We start from the raw sequence: 21,649 nt of genomic DNA, 5'->3' as shown, positions 1-21,649 counted from the left end.
GAAAGTAGCATCGCTGCTGAGGAGATTTGTAGGAGCTGAAGTCAGCTGCGCTGTAGATAAATTCTAATTTGAAAATACTGCATCATACACTACGGGATGACATCAGCTGAAGGATGTTTGCCTTTTGCTTTATTGTACTTCTTAAAGAATGATTATAAGTGCTTCGTATCCTTCCTCTAAACATAGTTCCATGACAATACTTTGAAGAATCTTTAAGGCAAACAGTCTTTGCTAGTAAATTCCACTATTGTTTCTCCTTTATTCCAGGTTATTACATTCAGCTGCCAGCTGTCAGCTGTAAAAATCAAACACAGGAGACAATATATGCTGTGTTTTCTCTGCTATTCTCCTTTTTCAGGTTCTGCAGAAAATTAGAGAAAAATCTCTTTTACTTAAACTCCCACATTTAAACTCTAGGTCAAGGGTAAATAAACAAAAACATGCTCTTCTCATCCTTACACAACCTTACCCATTGTAAAAGGACATTTAGGTAAGAGGATATTTAGTTTCATTTAAATGATTTCCAGTGACTCAGAGAATTAGGTTTTTTTTTTACTTTATATATTTAAGTGATGCCTTTATGCTTAGGAAGAAAAGATGATAATCTAATGAATCTCAGCTCCTCTTTATGAGAAATGAAGAATTAAATAAAATTATACTGAATTAAGCAAATATTTATTGAGAACCTACTATGTGGTACGGCGTTCTTGCAGGGACGTAAGTGGTAACAAGTAATATAATAATAATTAAAGAATCTGTTCTTTCTGTAGATCACAGGGTTCTTTGCTATTAATGGTCTCTAGGGAATAAGATAGTCCATGCTTCAGGGAGTCTACAGACTTAGGGCAGAGAATGTCTATAGATTTATTTGAGGAGAATCCATTAACTTTAAAGCAGATATTCTCTCCAGAGAGTTGCTGACATTTTACACATAAACTTTAACTTCTGAATATCCCTCCAAGAGGAGCAAAAAAAGGGATCATTTTTGCCTGGGATGCACAAATAAAGGTTGATGTGTATAGATGATTGGTGGTGTAGTCCAGAGAACAAAACCAAGCACTGATAGAGTGTTCAACTCTGTGCAAGACTATTCTCAGCACTGACATATATTTACAGTCTACTCCTCACACAATATTTTGGAGTAAGTTCTGCTGTTATTTTACAATGAGGCAATCGAGGCACTGAAAGACGTAATCAAAAGTGTTGGCGTGTTAACCCTGAGGGACCAGACCATGAGCCCTTTGGTTTGCGAATGCCAGGCATGGTCATTGAGAGGAAAGAGGGAATTCACAGAATTCTCTGGAGAACATTCTGATCCTGGCATCCTGACTATTCCTTCTGCTTATGTCAACTTCTAGTAGTTCATCTTTCTAGAAGAAATCAAATCTTAAAAAGTACATTGTCTTACAGGCTGCAGATAGAAGTCTGCCTTTCTTCCAGTTTGGAAATTCGTATCTCTGTTCTTCTATCAGTCTGATAACATAATGCCTGAAAGCCTAGAAAATGCATAGAAAGATCTCACAGACAGTGAGTTTTAAAGGCCAAATTTATTTATTTATTTTAAAAATATTAGTCAGCTGTAACTACATCACCTCCCCCAAAAACATAGATGCGTACCTTGTGTGAAAGTTACAGTCATTCCGGGCTTTAAACAATAAAAATTATTTCCTTGCGTTTGTTCTTAACTCTTCAGGGTTTTGTCTTCTGTAGCTCTAAATAAGTTTTACTCTTGCAATGTGAACAACATCAAATGAAATCTGGACGGTGTGGAAGAATATTCCCAAGTGTATTATTGAGTCCCAGGTTGCTAATTTCATGGCCCACATTTTGGTTTACTGTTCTGTTTTTTTGAGGGGGGGTGGGGGTGGGTTTTCCAATGGCATGCTCCAAATAACAGTGTAATAGAACACTTTGAACACAATTTCTTTCAGACAGAGGATCTCAACGCATACTTCTCACAGATAAAATACTTCCACGTGCTGCAGTTAGACGAAAGAAGGGAATTGCTTTTCACGTATCCACAGACTTGGTTAGCTGACTGGGATCTCTCTGCTGGCAACCTGGAAAAGCAAGTCAACATTTCTGAGGTTAGACTTGGGAGTTTCAGAAATGCTCCTGAGGGTAACTAATGAGAGGTGTGTAGCTGCTTGTTTTGTTTTGTGTTGACACAGCAACTTCCTGTGGTGGTTTCATCCTCCTTCTTCAGTAACTGCTTCTTTCTCTCAATAAAGAATGTTAATATAATTTGAACAAAAACAGCATGTAAAGAAAAAGAAAACATAGATACCCAAAGACAGTCCCTAAATTAGAATCTCTTTGCTGACTCTTAATTTTCAAAATATGAAGGCACCTGATTCTGCTTCTCCATCTCCCCACTGCCATCTGAAAAGCTTAATGTGGAAATAAATAGTTATTCTCTAAACATTAAGCGATACAAAAGAAACACACTTGATAATTATATTATTCATCAGACACTCAAATTGTGAGGTGAATTTTCTATAAGATAATAGAAGCAGGGCTGGGAAGGAGAGAGACTTAGAAGGCATGAAGCTACTCTTAATTTTGTTAGCTTTAATCCCAATTAGCCGCCTGTAACATTATCATGCTGCTTGTCCCTTGGAGAAAATTCATGGTACAAGGTGAAATAAACTTTTGAATTCCCTCATGTTTCTAACTTTTCTTGTAGCATTTCACTCAGAGACTTACAGGCCAGGAGAAGGAGAGGAGCCATCTTGCCAAAGCCAGCGTCCGCTGTGTCCATCCTGAGACAACCCCACCCAGTAATCATAGCTTCCTTTAATCTTCCTCAAGCTGCCAGTGATAAAATCCTATGAGACAAAAATTGAACTGTGAAATGAGAAAAACAAACAAACAAAACTCTAGTGAAATATAAAGTGTGACATTTTGCCTAGCTAGAAATTAATGGGAACTTGAAATCTGGAAAAGGAGAGAAGGGAGTATTATAAAAAAGTGCCGATACATTTTTTAGACTATTTTCGATTGCTGTATGGATCCATGTGGTGTTAAAAACTATGAAAAAAATAGGCAACTGGGATTTTAAAAGTTTCAACAGATTCAGAGCCTGGCAGGTAGTATACGTCAAAAAAAGAAAGTGTTATACTGAACCTTCGTTATCAAAAATAAAAATATTCTTGACATCATAGACCACATAGAATAGTCTTTCTCAGTATACGTCGATGTAGAAAAATAGTTCATGAGATTCCAGGAGCAACTTAACTATGAGCACGTTCGGTTAGAAGAAGCATTTCTAATTTGTGTCATCAAATTTGCACGTAAAATAACTTTTTGCACCTACAACTGTAATAATTTACTTCAAATGTTCTTGGTTTACTGCATATCCTTAACAAATTATTTTCTCATGATTTTTGTTGAAATGAACTTCATCTAATTACTGAATATAGCAGGTATACATTTTTTATAGGGCCAAAAATGTGCAATTTTGCATTCTATTTCATATATTTGTGGGTAGAATGAATTCAAGGCAACATCTTATTGTTCACTTGTTTTATTTTATTATTATTATTTTTTTGAGATGGAGTTTTGCTTTTGTTGCCCAAGCTGGAGTGCAATGGCTGAATCTCGGCTCATTGCAAACCTCTACCTCCTGGGTTCAAGTAATTCTCCTGCCTCAGCCTCCCACGTAGCTGGAATTACAGGCTCCCACCACCATCCCAGCCTAATTTTTGTATTTTTAGTAGAGACAGGGTTTCACCGTGTTGGCCAGGCTGGCCTTGAACTCAGGTGATCCACCCACCTTGGCCTCCCAAAATGCTGGGATTACAGGTGTGAGCCACCCCGCCCAGCCTATTCACTTGTTAAGATATTGGTAAACTAGGTTTTATGCTAATTAAACATTTCATTTAGCAGATACTTGTATTTTTCAAGACCTATTTATTTCATGGCACCACTTCAGTTTTTATACTTCTGTTTTTTCTTGATAATTACAAGATTATTATAGGTTACTATATTTGCCTACAGCATTGAAAATAATACATTTAAAACATATCTGCAACTATAATATATGTATATCTTGAAGTGGATTATCATGCTACAAAATAGTATTCTCCTTATTCCCTCCTCTTTTTAATTAACCAAGGACATAGAACAAACATATTCTTCTCGATTTCAGAAAACCATCCTGTTTTTATGTTTTCCCATTAAAAAGAAAACAAAAAATACAGATTCCAACTTTGTTTCTTTTAAACCTTTATTTTTACAATTATACTGCTGTTATAGAATATTAAGGAATTTTGTCTTATGAGAATGAGGGATTTCTTTTAATAAGTAAAATGATATTTTCAGAATAACATGAGACCACAAAACAGTGTTTACCATTTCTTCTTTGCTCTCTATTTGTAGCAGCGTGGAACCTTCCTTTAAACAATTCTCTTGACTGGTGTGCCAAATGCTCCAAATTTCAGAGACATAGTAACAACTTTCTCTGTTCTGAATCCAATTGTTTGGACAAGGACTGCTGTTATGGGCTTTGAATATAAACATTTTACTTTAGTATCTTATTGTAAAATATTAACAACATATATCCCTCCAAAAAGCCCCTTGCCTCACCCTCAGTGAGGCTGAATCTCATAACGTAATGGTCCACATGATGTAGCACTTACCAATTTCAGCTTCTCTGAGGCTCAATATAGTAAGATTCATGTAATAATTTCTATCTGCAATGGGCCTTTAACTTAAATATGAAATTAATTTTGGGATATATTTAACTAAATTTTTTCTCTTCTATAATAATCTGATTATTCCAGTTTTATCAATCTTTCCTTTCTTTGAATTCACATCATTTATTGTCTTCACTTGTTTGCTTATTGTTTCATGTCTGTTAGTCTTACTGCCCCAATTTAGCCAGAAATGTACTGGACCATTGGATGGATTGAATAATAAGCCCTGAATTTATGTTTAAATTCTGAGAGCTAAACAAGGAAATATTTTATAGATAATGGAGAGAACAAGTAGTCTGCCTTAAGGAGTGATTTGAAAACATGCAGGTGAGGAAAATTGGAGAAGAACATAAATGAACAATATGCTTAGTTTAGGACTCTGATACAACTAAGAAGTAAGCCTTAATGTTTAATCAGTTTTATGGAACCTGTTTTAAGATGGAATATAGTCACAAAAGAAGGATGGTCAAATGTGTAAAAGGGGAACCAAAGACCAAGAATTTGACCAAGTGTTTCTGGCACAGGTTTATAGAAGGAAAGACACTGAAACTTCCACAACTCTGGTTTCTAGACAGTCCCTGTATTTAGGCCAAGAAATAATTCATCAGTAGCTTCCATGGGCCAGATGTTAAGTTGTTTAAAGCTCTTCAATATCTTTTGTTTGAAATCCCTGCCAACCAATATCCTGAACATTGCTATAGTATAAATAGTGTAGACAATGGTATTGGTGGCGTTGAAGAACATGTTGGACTTGTACGTCTCCAAAATGGATATTGTTATTCTATTCAAGGTTGATGGCTCAGAGGTGGGCCTCACCCGAGTTTGCAATGGCCTGCTGCATAGAGAAACATGGTTGGGCACACAGTGATCCTTCAAACACTCGATTAAATTTTAATCAGAAGGAACTATGGTTGATGTTTGACTTCTCTCATTGGCAATTATGTAAATGGTATCCAGTCTAGGAAAGTTAATTCTCTAAACTATATGTACAAGCATTATGAAATGCCAAGCATAGAATACATGGCAAACTATATGACAGGTAGAAATAGACTCTGCATTAGGTTTAAAATGCTTGTAAAGCATATAAAAGATTAAACTGCAGTAACTTCATAGAATTTTAAAAAAGAGCTAGGTCCTGCATCGTAAAAGAATTTTGTGGTAAATACTCTCATTTTCAAAATGAATTTTTTTGCTCAAAGCTATCTAAACTTGAATCTAAAACAATATCTAAACTAAATATATTGGGAAATTTGGAGCTAGAACTAAAACATCCTTACAAATTTGAATGGCTGGATAAAACGATTTTTTTTTGTGCATGTATTTTTTTAATCTGACCTACTAATTGCACACACACCTCTTTGGCATTTGACTGTACATTTCCTTTAGTTGCATTCTTTTGGATCCCTAGTGTTTCCACGTAGTATTGGATGTTATAAATAAGATTGAACTGAAGAGTGACCAAAATTATGTCACTCTTATTATAAAATCCTAACAGTTTTGCAGAGAACAAAATGTGTGTCACTGTTTCTTTTGAGGTATTGGTGTATATATTTAGATGTATACAGTGGAAACTGATTTTTATCCATTACCTGAACTTAATGAGTTTTGCATGAAGGCTTGGCAATATTTCATCTGAAGGGCACAGCTTCTCTTCCATTCTGTAAAGTTTAGCAGTGCCCTCTCTTGTTGGATGAGTTTTTCTTGCTGCTGCATCGCAATGGTGGACACCTGCAACACTTCACATGATAGCAATCATTCCTAATAAAATCCTGACATTTTATAGCAAAATAATCCTTCAACACAGACTAAAGACAAGTACAAATTACTATTATTTTTGAGACTTGAATTTGTATTATTTTAGGTTTTTGCTTAAAATTTACATTGTACAAGAATCAAACACTACAAAAGACGTGGAACAAAATGTCTCTTTGCACCCATTTTTAATTTGCTTGATTTACTACCCCCAAACAACCAGATTTACCAATTTATATTTTATTATTTGGGAGCTTTTGAATATTACACATAAGATAAAACAAAAAGAAACTTTACAAATGAAGGCAAATGAATATAAAACTCGCTCTCTCCCCTTAACACAAATGGTAACAATATATTTACATGGTTTTGCACCTTTTGTTTTATCATTAACATGCATATTTGAACTCAGTTCCATATCAGTACATAGACATGCAAAATTTAGTTCAATAGCACAACCAGGATATTGACATTGATACAATCAAGATACTCGGCTCCTCCACTACCATCAGGATCTGTCCTTGCCCTTTTATAAGTACACCCACTTCCCTCTTGCCTTCACCCCTTGTTCACTCCTGGCAATCACTAATTTGTGTTCCTTTTCTATTTTATCACATAAATGACATATAAATGCTATCTTACAGTATGTAACCTTTTGCTATTTGCTTTGTTCACTCAGAATAATCCTCTGGAGACTCATGCAGATTGTTGTTTAAATAAATAGTTCACCTATTTTGTATTGTTGAGTAGAATTCCATGATATGAATTACCACTACTAGTTTAACTGTTCATCCACTGAAGGACATCCAGGTAGTTTTCAGGTTTTAGTCATTACAAATAGAGCTACTATAAGCACTCATGTACAGGTTTTTGTGTGAACATAAATTTTCATTTCTATGAGGTATACGCTCAAGAGTGCAATTGTTGTGTTTTAAGGAAGTGTGAAGTTTAGATTTTTAAGAAACTGCTACGCTATTTTCCAGAGTGGCTACAGCATATTACATTTCCACCAGGAATGAGTGAGTGATCCGCTTTCTCTGCAGCTTGACAAGCATTTGATGTTGTCACTTATTGTTATTTTAGCCATGCTGATTATGTATGTAGTAATATCTCACTGTAGTTTTAATTTACATTTCCTTAATGGCTAATGACATTGAACATCTTTTCTTGTGCTTATTTGACATCTGTATATTCTCTCTGGTGAAACGTCTTTTCATGTCTTTTTGCCATTTTCTCGTTGGATGGTCTAGTTTTTTACTAACTAGAGAGTTCTTTGTACATTCTAGGTTCTAATCCTTTGTCAGATATTGATTTACAACTATTTATTCCCAGTCTGTAACTTGGCTTTTATTTACTTATTTATTTTTGTAGAGATGGGGTCTCACCTTCTTGCTCAGGATGGTCTTGAACTCCTGGGCTCAAGGAATCCCAAAGTGCTGGGATTATAGGCATGAGCCACCACACCTGGCCTGTAACAAGTCTTTTTACCCTCTTCCTAGTGTCTTTTGCAGAGTATGTATGTTTTATTTTGATGAGGTCCATCCAACTTACCAGCTTTTCCTTTCATTAACCATTTTTTAATGTAAGTCTAAGAATTATTTGCCTACCTTTAGATTCTGAAGATTTTGTCCTATGTTTTCTGAAAGTTTGACAGTTTTATGCTCTACTTTTAAGACTGTGGTCTATTTTGAGTTAACTTTTAATTTTTGTGTAAGGTTGAAGACTTAGGCTTATTTTCTTTTTCTTTTTTTCTTTCCTATGGATGTCTAATTTCTCCAGCACCATTTGTTGAAAAGGCTATCCTCCTTCTTTCAATTGATTTGCACTGCTGACAAAATCATTTGGGTATATTTGTATGAGTCTGTTTCTGGATTCTTTATTGTATTTTATATCTGTCTTTTTGTCGACTAATACACCTAGCTTTAATTCATACAGGTTTTGAAATCAGGCAAATTGATTCTACTCAGTTATATAATTGGTTTAAAATAAGTTTATGATATGTTAATCATTATTAGATTGTGGTTATTGAATAGACATATTGTATAGAGAGAATGGCATCAAGAAAAATTAATTAGTGAATTAAAAAAAACAAATAAAAACACCTATGCGTGTCAGCCAGACCTTTAGGATTAAAAATCCTCTTTTAGAGAGAAATAGAACAACAAAAGAGGAGAACAAATGGGCAAATCTGTAAAATTATTTTCATATTTTTAACCACAAAACGGAGGTAACCACGATCACACAGAAAAATCATCTGACCAAGACAGGCTGGGCGTGGTGGCTCTCGCCTGTACTCCCAGCACTTTGGGAGGCTGAGGGGGGTGGCTCACTTGAGGTCAGGAGTTCGAGACCACCATGGCCAACATGGCAAAGCCTTGTCTCTACTAAGAATACAAAAATTAGCTGGGTGTGGTGGTGTGCGCATGTAATCCCAGCTACTCAGGAAGCTGAGACAGGAGAGGCACTTGAACCCAGAAGGCAGAGGTTGCAGTGAGGTGAGATCATAACCCTGCACTCTGCACTCCGCACTCCGGCCTGGGCAACAGAGCAAGAAAAGAAAAAGAAAACATTTACATATCTACATATTCTGATCTGTTTTACTTATCAACATTGCTGCTGAGAAGAAAATGCCAGAAATCAAAAGCCATGGACTAGAGAAAGCAGATGTGTATGCCCTGTCCATCGGTGGATAGTTAACAAAAACCCAGGCTGTCAGCTGCTTGGATCTTTTTCTCTCTTTCTAGCAAAATGATGGATCTAACCAGAGTCAAGTGTAGAACAGTGATGCTCTGATTTTTATCCTATTAATAATCTGGCATGTTTAGACTTTGAAAAATAATAATTTTCTTCTTAGATTCAACATATAATTCTAAAATTTTATATTTAGATACCTTTTTAGATTAGCTATATCATAGAAGCTGTTGTTTATTACTGTCTGAACAGCGTATACTATATGAAACTGTAATAAAACTGGAGAAAGGGAAATGAGACTTCTCTTCAGAGTTTTACCCTAAATGGGAAGCAAAATATAGCACCTTTATTGGGGTTGAAGTTGTAATAAATCTGCAATGAGGAATAAAGACAAAACAATATAATTACCTGGGGAAAAAAAACAAAATACTTTTAACGTCCCCCAAATAAAATTATTTGTTATATGATATCATACATTATACCTAATTGATGAATTAAGAAAATGAACAGTAAAAACAAATTAAAAAGCTGATTTGTTAGAAAATATTTTGAACTATAGATTTTTTAATACAAAAATTAATGGCATAAATAATGTGGTAGAAAAATTAGAAAATGTGAAATAGTAGGAAGAAAATTAAAGTTAAGTCTACTTACTTTGAGAACTACCACTCAAATAATGGCCATTAGTATTTGGTTTATATCTATTGAAACTCTTTTCTATGTATGTATATAGAAAAGTATTTTATATACAACCTTTAGAAAACCATATTTTTATATAAATGTCTTTTTAGAAATCTGCTTCTTTCGTGAGAAAATATTGCATAACCATATTCCCAAAACAATAACAATGGTTCTAGAAGAATTCTTTAAATAATGGCATTGTGTTCTTTTATATAAATATGACATAATTAATTTTACCAGTCCTTCTATTGTCAGGTACTGGCCTTTAGTTATATATATGAGCAATTTGTAATTAGCACTTTCATTATGTTCATGTTATGATACTTTTAAATAAAAGGTTATAGTTTTCATTTACTACTTTTTGTCAGACACATGGTCCTATTTAAAAAATATATATGTATATAATTTAAATATGTTTTCATATTTGTCTTGCAATGCAAGTTTTCATAAAGAAAATTGGATGTAACATTTTAATTTAAAATGGAACATAATCAAAATGGAATATTTATTAAAAAATAAACATGACTTTTGTAACTCAAAGCCTACTGGCTATAACATAATCTGTAACTAGCTGGGACAAGTAATTAGTTATTGAACAGAATGTTTCACATGAAGAAGCTGCTTATTGCTTAACACAACAGTTTTATTATGGTAACTGGTTTTATTTTTTTAAAGCCTTAAGTGTTAAAAATGTATAAGAAGACCTAGGCAAATTATAAATTTAAAAACAACAACAATAAAAATTAATAGTCACTAGAACAAAAGCTAAAGGAAAATATACTTTACGCCTGTACAGTGATATTTAAGTTTTGTAAGTATATATTTTTAGCTCGTAAGACAAAATTTAAAAAGCAAAAACTTTTATTTGTAAGAATTTTCTAGAAATTACTGGAAGTCTTAGGCACATGGTTTTCTAGCTATGTTTCTTTTATCCTCATTAAAGTAACATTTTCTTCATACAATTTGTGTTTGGGGAGTTAACATTTTTTAAATATATACTACATTCATAGGATTAAAACATTTAAAAAAATCCGAAAAGTAAACATTGAAATATATTTTTCTCCTCATCGTCACTATTTATCTCACTTCTCTTGCCCTCACTTTTAGTATTTCTTATATAACCTTCCATTGTTTGTTTAAATTCAAGAAAATGTTCATTCTTAATCAAATTGTAACATAGCATATACATTTAAAAAATAATTTCAGCTTTTATTTAGATTCAGGGGGTACATGTGCAGGTTTGTTACTCAGGTACATGATGCTGATGTTTGGGGTACAATTGATCTCATCAGCCAGGTTTTAAATGCTGCTTTTTTGCACTTTACATACAGAAGTGTTTCTTCTTTCTTTTGTTGTTCTTGCTTCAAGGTATTCTATTGTATAGATGATGTACCATTATTTATTAACATGGTCTCTTATCAATGTGGTGGGTATTTGAGGCTTTTCCCCTATTGTTAAATTGCAGGTTTATCTATAGGTACAATTTCCAAAAGTAGTACTGCTGGGTCACAGTTAATACAGTTTAAAATAATTCACTATCTTAGGAACATGATTTATAGGTTTCATATAAGATTTCGTTTACTAGATGGAGAAGACACTTAGGTATACACTGAACAGCAAATCTTTTGACAACATGGAAAATGTAGAGTGTATCTTTTTTTTTTTTTTTTTTTTTTTTTTGAGACAGAGTCTCACTCTGTCACCCAGGCTGGAGTGCAGTGGTACAATCTTGGCTCACTGCAACCTCCACCTCCCTGGTTCAAGCAATTCCCCTTCCTCAGCCTCCGGAGTAGCTAGGATTACAGGCGCACCCCACCACTCCCGGCTAATTTTTTTGCATTTTTAGTAGAGATGATGTTTCACCATGTTGGCCAGACTGGTCTTGAACTCCTGACCTCAGGCAATCCGCCCACCTCGGCCTCCCAAAGTGCTGGGATTACAGGCATGAGCCACCACGCCTGGCCTAAAGTGTACTTTTATAATCATCCTTATTATGTAGTATATGATTTTTGTCTATATAGTAGACAAAATATTTGGCAATTGGAGACTATAGATTTATGTTTATATAAAAACCAAATTATATATCCCATTCACTTGACAACAGTGCTTCAAGATGTTGCATCTTCAGTTAATTTTGTTTGTAATTGGAAATGATTTTATATGTTAAGTTTTAAAATCTTATTACCCCAAATCATTATCATTTGTAAAATAACATTGAAATTCATTATATAGAATTAACATTTAAAGAATATTTTTTGATATTTGCAATGCAAGTTAAATATGGATTCTTCTATTGTAGAGTTACAATGAAGTTTGGCAATGTGTCATTTAAAGTCCTCAATTTTTACAGAAGAAGGTGGATTATTAGATGTTAATTGACTGAACTGGTCTTTTAAATATAAATTGTTTCCACAGGTATTTAATATGTGTGCTTCTTAAAAAGCGAACTCACATTTGTCTAAAATATGTATTTTTTAATAAGACCCAAAGAGAGTAGATAGAGAAAAAGAAAGCTGTCTTGAAGTTCTAACATTTCTGTTAAGCTGTGAAACTTTATTTGAGGAGACAGACGAAGTAACAATTACTGATTAAGCTCTTGGCAATTCTTAAAACGTTCCTCTAAAAACCAGCAGAAAATGAAGCTCATGACATTACCTAAGCAAGGTCAAACTTCCTATACTTTGTGAATGCGAATCTGAACCTTTCCCTTCCTTATTCTCAGAGTTCATAATTCTTCCTCTCCAGCTGATGTCTTTTAGATAGAGATATGATTTGCAAAGGCATATAAGAAAGAAACATCTACATTTTTCTTAGTGGTAGCATGAGTGATGTTAGAGGTTCATTGTTCTTTTTCTGGAATCTGAAGCTCTGTAATTATTATATTTTATAAAAATTTCACTTGCCAAACATAAAAGTATGTCTTCTATTTGGACTAAAAAGCAATGTGGTTAAATGTGGTCGAACGAAGCTCTCAGGTTTGCATTAAACATTTTAAATTGAAACTTGCCTAATATAAATAATCTTTAAAAGTCAAATTTAATTTAAATGTATATTAGAAACAGAAAAGCAGAATGTGAAATCTTTCAAATTGCATGCTTTAGCATGTTAACATGACTCACAAATGGAATCAGAATATGTTATTATTTTCATTGTTTCTCCCAGAGACCTATAGCACATGATTTGAGTTAAAAAACATGCAATAGATCATTGAAAGTTATCAGTGGCATCCAAGTGCTCAGAGAGTTCTATCAAATGATTGAAATTTGAGGCCATTATTTTATATCATTTATGTGCATTCACATATGAATTGATTTTCCATCCATTTATAAATTATGAAGTTTTATATATAACGATATACATATTTTGAAAATATCTTTTAGTACTTACACTTGACGCCCAAGAAAATGGATGCTGTTAATAATCCCATGCAGAAAACACATGAAATCACCATCACAAGACAGCATGCTCCTAACCACAGAATAGGAAAAATGATACCGAGTTAGAGAAAGCAGATAAAAAAGACGGGGCAAGGATAGATTGAGATTGAGTAAAAGAAGGAATTAACATTGGCATTTCTACTGAGAGTTGTTGGGGCCTGGGATGTGTAAAAGAAAAGGAAAAAGAGAACCTTTGCTCAAATGCACTGAAATACAACTCATAACTTGGAATATATGTGATATGGATACTGCCAAATTAAGTAGATTTAATAGTATACTTCTGTTATCCTTATCTTTGATGTCACACCTTAAACAAACTAATTATATGTATTCTTTTCCAACAATCTTTTAGAGATTCCCCCAAGCCAAATGCTGGCTTTATGTTTTGAGATAAAAAATGCTGTCTCACATCTCCCCATCTCTTCAGTGTTACTTGAACATGATTAAAGAAAAGAAAGATACACATTTTAAATATATACTTTTAAATATACATTTTTTGGAAGACGAACAAGTTTTCCAAGGTAACTTTACAACCCTGCAGAGAGGAAAAAAAAAAGGAATATGTGATTTTTTGTATTCAAAACACTAATCAGAGAAAAATAGTTAAAATTTATCTTTGAATATTGTGATAGGCAGAGAAATGCCCCTGCCTAACATGCCAGTGTCATAATTCCTGGGACTTGTGAGTTACCTTATGTGGAAAAGGGACTTTGAAGAAGTCATTAAGTTAAGGATTTGGGATGGGAAGATTAGCCTGAATTATCTGGATCCCTTTTAAATGAGAGGTAGGATATTGGAGGGACAGAGCATGGCATGATAATGGAGGCTGAGAAACATTTAAAGAGGTTATGTTGTTGGCTTTCAAGACAGAAGAAGGGTCCATGAGCCAAGGAAAGCAATAAATCCAGCTCTAGAAACCAGAAAAGACAAGGGATAGAGTCTTCCACTCGATCCCTGCCAACACCTTGGTTTCAGCCCATTGAAATCCATTTCAGCTTGTGACATCTAGAGCCCTAAGATAATAAATTTACGTTCTGTTAATCCCCTAAGTCTGTGTGATTGGTTACACCAGCAGACAGGAATTAACATAGATATTAAACGATACAGACAGAACTAATCACTATAGCCAACAACTCTAGGCCAATGAGATCTTGCCAGTTTTTCAACCTATGTTTTCTCTTTTTTATTTCTTAGTATTTATCAGATAATTTGCAGAATGTTTTAGTAGGAGTTCAATTAATTGAAGTTGTATTTTTTTCACGTATTTCCCAAATCTAGGTATTGCTTTTCTTTTCTAGAGAGGCAGAGGAAAAAATAGTTCCGCACGTTTATCACGTGTATTGCTCTCTTTATTTTTCACCGTTACTTAATCCTTCTCCACTTCATTAGCATTTCACGGACATTACAGTACCCTTAGGTAGATTATCTCGGATTAGAATAAACATCTTGGCCTCATGATAGAGCAGAAAAAAAAAAAAAACATGAACTCTAAAGTCTCACACAAAATAGTTAGAACTGGTTACCTGAACATTTGTTGGAAGACAGACATTTCTGGTAAGTGTCTGGTGCTGGGCTATCCCACTGAAGAGAGGTGTATATTTCTTCCTCGTGCATGTCTAAGGTGCTTTGATAGGAAAGCAGTCCACACAGGAGGCTGGAACAAGTAACTCCTCTTGTGGTTTGGAGCAGGTTGGTGTAAGAACTGAAATTGGTTACATTTTCACAGTAGTGGGAAAATATGTTTGTGTTTAAGGAGTAGAATAGATGCACCTTCATTCAGAAAGTGGAAGTTTATGAAGTCTAAGCCAAAACACAACTTGGTGAAAAAGGAAATGAGAGAGAACTGAATTTAGAATGGCCAATGATAGAACATTTTTTTATCCGGTTTCCAAAATGTAGCAGATGTTGAAGGTGATAGCAGTGAGTTCAGAAGAAAAAGATGTAAGTGCAAAGAACGCACTTGCATTTGGTATAGGAGATGAAGCGTGGGGTGACCTAGATAGTGAAGATATAAAGATAACTCACATTGGGCAAACCACGGTGTAAAGGGTGGGAGATCACTGGGTAGCCTTAAACAACAAAGCTAGGAAGGGATTTCAACCTTAAAATAAATTTACATACTGTATATCTGTTAGTGTAATGCTACTTACTGTGATAAATAAACCTCAAAATATCAGTACTTAACACAATAAAAGTTTGCATCTTACATAATGTTTTAGCTCCAGGAATCCTAGTTAGTGATAGCATTCCTCCAAATGAGACTTGGGATTCTTTCGTCTTGGGAGACATTGGAGCCCTTGACTTCTATCCACTGGAAAAGAAAAGAGAAGGTGATGAATCCACACCTGCTCTTGAAAGCTATAACCTAGAATAGCATGTCTCACATTCACATCCACCAAAGGCATGCCCACTTTTGGACATAAGGTTTGAGCTTGAAAAATGTATTTTTTGCCTGCACAGCAAGCTCTTGATGACCACTTCACTCTAGAAGGAAAGCATGAATTATTTAGCATTTCTGCCACATCTTGCGACTATAGCATCAGAAATTTGAGACTTTAATCATCATTCATCATTTGACCACTTATCTTTATGGCCAAAGGTTATGTCTAAGTAATATAGTCTATGAGTCCCAATAATATGCAAAATTACACTGTTTACTTTTGTTTCAGTATCTCACTGGATTCATCAGTCTTCTCCCTAGCAATCAGGCCCCCAGAAGGAAACAAATGGCATACTCAAGGGGTAATCTAAGGGCATTTAATTAAAGGACTGTATATAAAGTTTCGGGAAGTGTTAAGGGAACCAAAAAGGGGTGTGACATATGCACTGGGAAGCTGTCAGGTCACCTGAAGAATTAAGTTGAAAATGTTTATTGGAACTGCATGACCTGCCTGACAAGAGCCCTGATCACCACTGCCTTCTATTGGCTCAATTAACTAGAAGCCAGGGGCCAAGTTTGTTTGCCCTGATAATGCGTTCATTTGAGCTCAGCCTCTCAAAGCACAGGTTGGAACTGAGAGAATCCCCAGGGGCAACTGAAGAGAATATCCAGCAAATTTTATTTATTTAATTTATTTATTCATTTTTTTTTTTTTTTAGACAGAGTTTCACTCTTGTCGCCCAGGCTGGAGTGCTGTGGCCCTATCTCGGCTCACTGCAACCTCTGCCTCCTGGGTTCGAGCAATTCTCCTGCCTCAGCTTCCCAAGTAGCTGGGATGACAGGCACCCGCCACCACGCCCGGCTAATTTTTGTATTTTTAGTAGAGACAGGGTTTCACTATGTTGGCCAGGCTGGTCTCAAACTCCTGACCTCAGGTGATCCGCCTTCCTCGGCCTCCCAAAGTGCTGGGATTATAAGCGTGAACCACTGTGCCTGGCCCCATTCTTCAATATTTTATATGATGCTCATGTGACCTGAGATTCGAATCTGAAAATTAATGTAACCTAATCCCACATAGCCTTAAAGTAGGATCACTTCTATCTTGAGGAGAAACAGAGGAAGAAATCATAAGCATACCAAATGTACATTGAGACTAATGTTAGGAACACAGTAACAGAAGCTTAAGTTGTCATTAATTTCCAATTGTTCTCAAATTTTATCAGCACTAAAAATCAGGCTCAGAAAGACTCCTTTTCCCCAAATATAGAACATTCCCTGATAAATTTCATTGTATGGAGCCATTGGCTTCTCCCAATGAAGGACTAATATGTTCCTTTTATTACTTTTGATGTTTTTAATCGTACCTTTACTTATTGCTAATTATATTCCGAGTACTATTTTCAAGAACTTATACATGAATTATTTTGATTATTACCAATAGCTCAATGAAATAGGCACTATCATTAGTATAGAGTACAGGCATATCTTGTTTTATTGAGCTTTGCATTATTGCGCTTTGCAGATACTGCATTTTTTAAAAAGTGAAGATTTGCGGCAACTCTGTGTCAAGCAATCCTATCAGTGCCATTTTTTCCAACAACATATGGTTACTTTATGCCTCTGTGTCACATATTGGTAATTCTCATAATATTTCAAAACTTTTCATTATTATTACCTGTTACGGTGATCTTTGATGTTACTGTTATAATTGTTTGGGGGACCCACCATGAACTATATACCCATATAAGATGGTTAACTTAATTGATAAATATCAATAAATACTGTGTATGTTCTGACTGTTCCACCAACTGGCTGTTCCATCATCTCTGTACCTTTTCCTTGAGCCTCCTTATATTCCCTGAGACCTAACAATATTAAAAATAGGTCAATTAATAATGCTACAAAGGCCTGTAAGAGTTGAGGGAAAGAGTTGCATGTCTCTCACTTTAAATCAAAAGTTAAAAATGATTAAGTTTAGTGAGGAAGACATGTCAACAGCAAAGATAAACCAAAAGCTAGGCTTATTATGTAAAACAGCTAGCCAAGTTGTGAATGTAAAGGAAACATTCTAGAAGGAAATTAAAAGTGCTGCTCCAGTGAACATACAAGTAATAAGAAAGCAAGATAGCCTTATTGCTAATATGGAGAAAGCTTAGTGGTCTAGATAGAAGATCAAGCCAATTACAGCATTCTCTTAAGCCAAAGCCTAATTCAGAGCAAAGCCCTAACTCTTTTCAATTCTGTGATGAGTGAGAGAGGTAAGGAAGTTGCAGAAGAAAAATTGGAAGCTAGCAGAGGTTGGTCCATGAGGTTTAAGGAAAGAACCCATCTCTAACAAAAAAACGAAAGATGAAGCGGCAAATACTGATTTAGAAACTGGAGAATGTTATCCAGAAGATAAAGCTAAGATAATTGAAGGTTGCTACATTAAACAACAGATTTTTAGTGTAGATGAAACAGCTTTGTATTGGAAAGATGACATCTAGGACTTTTATAGCTGGAGAGGAAAAGTCAATGGCAGGCTTGAAAGCTTCAAAGGACAAGCTGACTCTATTGTTAGGGGCTAATGCAGCTGGTGATTTAAGTTAAAGCCAATAGTCAATTATCATTTCAAAAGCCCTAGAGACCTTAAGAATTATCCTAAATATACCCTGCCTATTCTCTATAAGTAAAACAACAAAGTCTGGATGACAGCACATTTGTTTATAGCATTGTTTACTGAGCATTTTAAGCTCACTGTTGAGAACTACTGCTCAGAAAAAAAAACCTTTTTTTTTTCTCAAAATATTACTGCTCATTGACAATCCCTCTATTCACTCTAGAGCTCCGATGAAGATGTACCAGGATATTAATGTTTTCATTCCTGCTAACACAGCCTCCATTTCTGCAACCAATGGATCAAGGAGTAATTTTGACTTTCAAGTCTTATTCTTTAAGAAATAAATTTCATAAGGCTATCACTGCCATGGATAGTGATTCTTCTGATATATCAGAGCAAAGTAAATTGAAAACCACCTGGAAAGGATTTACTATTCTAGATGTCACTGAGAAGATTTGTGATTCATGGAAGGAGTCAAAGTATCAACATTAACAGGCGCTTGGAAGAAGTTGACTCCAACCCTCATGGATGACTTTGAGAGATTCAAGACCTCAGTGGCGGAAGTAACTGCAGATGTGCTAGAAATAGCAAGAGAACTAGAATTGGAAGTGGAGGCTGAAGATGTGGCTGAGTTGATGCAATCTCACCAGGAAACTTGAACAGATGAGGAGCTGCTTCCTATGGATGAGCAAATAAAATGGTTTCTTGAGACAAATATTACTCCTGGTGAACACGCTGTGAACATTGTTGAAATAATAACAAAGGATTTCAAATACTGCATAAACTTAGTTTTTAAAGCAGTAGCAGGATTTGAGAGGATTGACTCCAATTTTGAAAGAAGTTTACTATGGGTAAAATGCTATTTCACATGATTTCATGCTACAGATAAAAATTTCATAAAAGGAAGAATGAATTGATGCCACAAACTTCACTGTTGTCTTTTTTTTTTTTTTTTTCGGAATCTCACTCTGTCACCAGGCTGGACTGTAGTGTCGCGATCTCGGCTCACTGCAACCTCCGCCTCCCAAGTAGCTGGGACTACATGCGTGCACCACCACGCCCAGCTAATTTTTTTTTTTTTTTGAGACGGAGTCTCGCTCTGTCGCCCAGGCCGGACTGCGGACTGCAGTGGCGCAATCTCGGCTCACTGCAAGCTCCGCTTCCCGGGTTCACGCCATTCTCCTGCCTCAGCCTCCCGAGTAGCTGGGACTACAGGCGCCCGCCACCGCGCCCGGCTAATTTTTTGTATTTTTAGTAGAGACGGGGTTTCACCTTGTTAGCCAGGATGGTCTCGATCTCCTGACCTCATGATCCACCCGCCTCGGCCTCCCAAAGTGCTGGGATTACAGGGCGTGAGCCACCGCGCCCAGCCCACTGTTGTCTTATTTTAAAAATAGCCGCATCTGCATCTACCCCATCCTTCAGCAACCACCACTCTGATCAGTCAGCATCCATCAACGTCAAGGCACGACCCTCTACCAGCTAAAAGGTTTCCACTCATTAAAGACTCAGGTAATCGTTAGCATTTTTAGCAATACAGTATTGTGTTTTTAAATTAAAGTATGTGCATTTGTAGACATAGTGCTATTGTGTACTCAATAGGCGACAGTTTAGGGCAAATATCACTTGTATATGCATTAGGAAGCCAAATAATTAGTGTGACTTACTTTATTGCAATAATTGCTTTATTGTGGTGGTCTGGAACTGAGTCTACAATACTTCTGAGGTATGCTTGTAACTTAGTTGTAATTTGAAACACAGAGGAGTCGAATTTTGCTAAGTTCACTTAGATAATATGTAGAAGATTAAGTATTTGGAATGAAGTGTTCTGATTTGTGCTACTAACATTTGTGTTATTTTGATTCCATGTGTAAGATGCTTTAGATATGAATACCAGGAAAAAAATCTTTGTAGGCACAGTTTGATTGGCTTACATTTTTAAATTGTATTGTTGCCATGCACTAAAATACTATCCTTCTAAATTTATGTGTGCCATAGTGATGTATGAACATATGCTTTTCCATTTTTGGGAGACGAAACAAAAGCCAAAGTTATGGCTAATTTTTGGATAGTGTTCTGAATTATTAGTTCCTATTTGGTTTCTCTAAATAAACAGTTAAAAATAAGAAAATAATAATACATTCACTCCAAATCCAAGATCTGTAGACATTTGAAGTAGCAAGTAACATTTGAGGTGTTTCTGTTATTTTTCCTAAGCCCTCCAAATCTGCTTGTTTATTGATAGTCTAGAAAAAAGATAAAGATTCAAGTGTCTTTAAGTGTTAGTGCACAAAGCTTTAAGAGTAACACACTTATTGAGTATGTATTACATGCTTGGTATTCTGATCAGTACTTTATATAGTCATATTAAATGAGGTTTACAATTACCTATGAGCAAGGTCAAAATATTAAACCCATTTCATAGATGAGGAAATAGAGTTTTAAAGACACTAAATTACTTATCCAAAGCCATACAGAGAGTAAGTTCTAAAGTAGTGATATTTCTCTAACTGTATTAAAGACTACCTCTACAAGAATTATGTCATGGTGCTTGTAAAAACCCACGTCTCTGTGTGTCCTCAGCCTTCCCACTAACGTCAGCATTTGTGTTTGAACATCTCCATGTTTTAACCAACACCTCAGTTGAGACGCTTGAGAATCATGTTTATAAATTGTATTCACTAGTTAAAGAAGGGAAGCTGTGGGAAAGAAATGCAATTTTTGCCTATTATCCTGTGAAACGGTGCCTTTCCATGTATTCTATAAATACTTGCTGAGTTATTCAGCAAGAAGCAAGCATAGAGCTGTTAGGAAAAGACCTAAATAAAGCATTTTAACATGTCCTTCTGTGTAGTAGCCTCTGGGCCTTGTTGAGAAGCATTTATTCATTTTACAAACCCCATGAGCTTTGTTACAAACTTTCTTTTCCTTCTTTTGCACAAAAAATTACTGCTGTTGAGTCTAACCAGAAATGAACTTGGAATAGTAATTGTATTTGTGTAATGTCTCTCTGTTTCCTGTAAGCCAGGATCTGGGGTTGGCGATGGTAATACAATAGTAAATGCAAAAGTCACAGTGCCTGTTCTTGTAAAGTTTCTGGTATAATTAACACTACAAAGTTTTATTTTAAGTTGTAGAACTGTGAGGTATAAATGGAGGATGTATTATTCCTATTTCAAGTATGAGAAAATGGAAGTTAAAAAATCTATGTGACTTGTTCATGATTGTACTTTAAGTGACATTATCTAAATTATTCTACCAATTCCAAGTTTAGTATTCTTTTTGTTACGTCACGCTATCTTTCAAACTTAGATATTCTGCACACATTTTAAGCTTCGATATTTTGCCCAACTTAATTAAGCACTAATCTATATTGTCCTGATTTTAATCTTATATGTGTATATATGAAGAT

At 35.2% G+C, this 21,649-nt stretch overlaps 1 protein-coding gene across 1 annotated transcript in view; it reads right to left on the bottom strand.

Annotated features, from left to right (window-relative positions):
* Positions 1–1,528: 1,528 nt before the first annotated feature.
* Positions 1,529–21,649, bottom strand: part of CLEC9A (C-type lectin domain containing 9A) — a 35,350-nt gene continuing 15,229 nt past the window's right edge. The window contains exons 3-9 of the mRNA NM_207345.4: positions 15,466–15,569; positions 14,782–14,930; positions 13,209–13,289; positions 6,287–6,433; positions 4,354–4,505; positions 2,707–2,828; positions 1,529–2,060 (exon numbers count right to left, since the gene is read on the bottom strand). Coding sequence (NP_997228.1) covers positions 1,928–2,060; positions 2,707–2,828; positions 4,354–4,505; positions 6,287–6,433; positions 13,209–13,289; positions 14,782–14,872 — 726 coding nt within the window. The 5' untranslated portion in view covers positions 14,873–14,930; positions 15,466–15,569 and the 3' untranslated portion in view covers positions 1,529–1,927. The remainder of the gene's footprint in view (positions 2,061–2,706; positions 2,829–4,353; positions 4,506–6,286; positions 6,434–13,208; positions 13,290–14,781; positions 14,931–15,465; positions 15,570–21,649) is intronic.

The sequence above is a fragment of the Homo sapiens genome, chromosome 12 (assembly GCF_000001405.40).
Source record: "Homo sapiens chromosome 12, GRCh38.p14 Primary Assembly".
Classification (NCBI taxonomy): domain Eukaryota; kingdom Metazoa; phylum Chordata; class Mammalia; order Primates; family Hominidae; genus Homo; species Homo sapiens.
The sequence above is the reverse complement of the archived record's forward strand: the minus strand, read 5'-3'. Positions and strand labels throughout refer to the sequence as shown.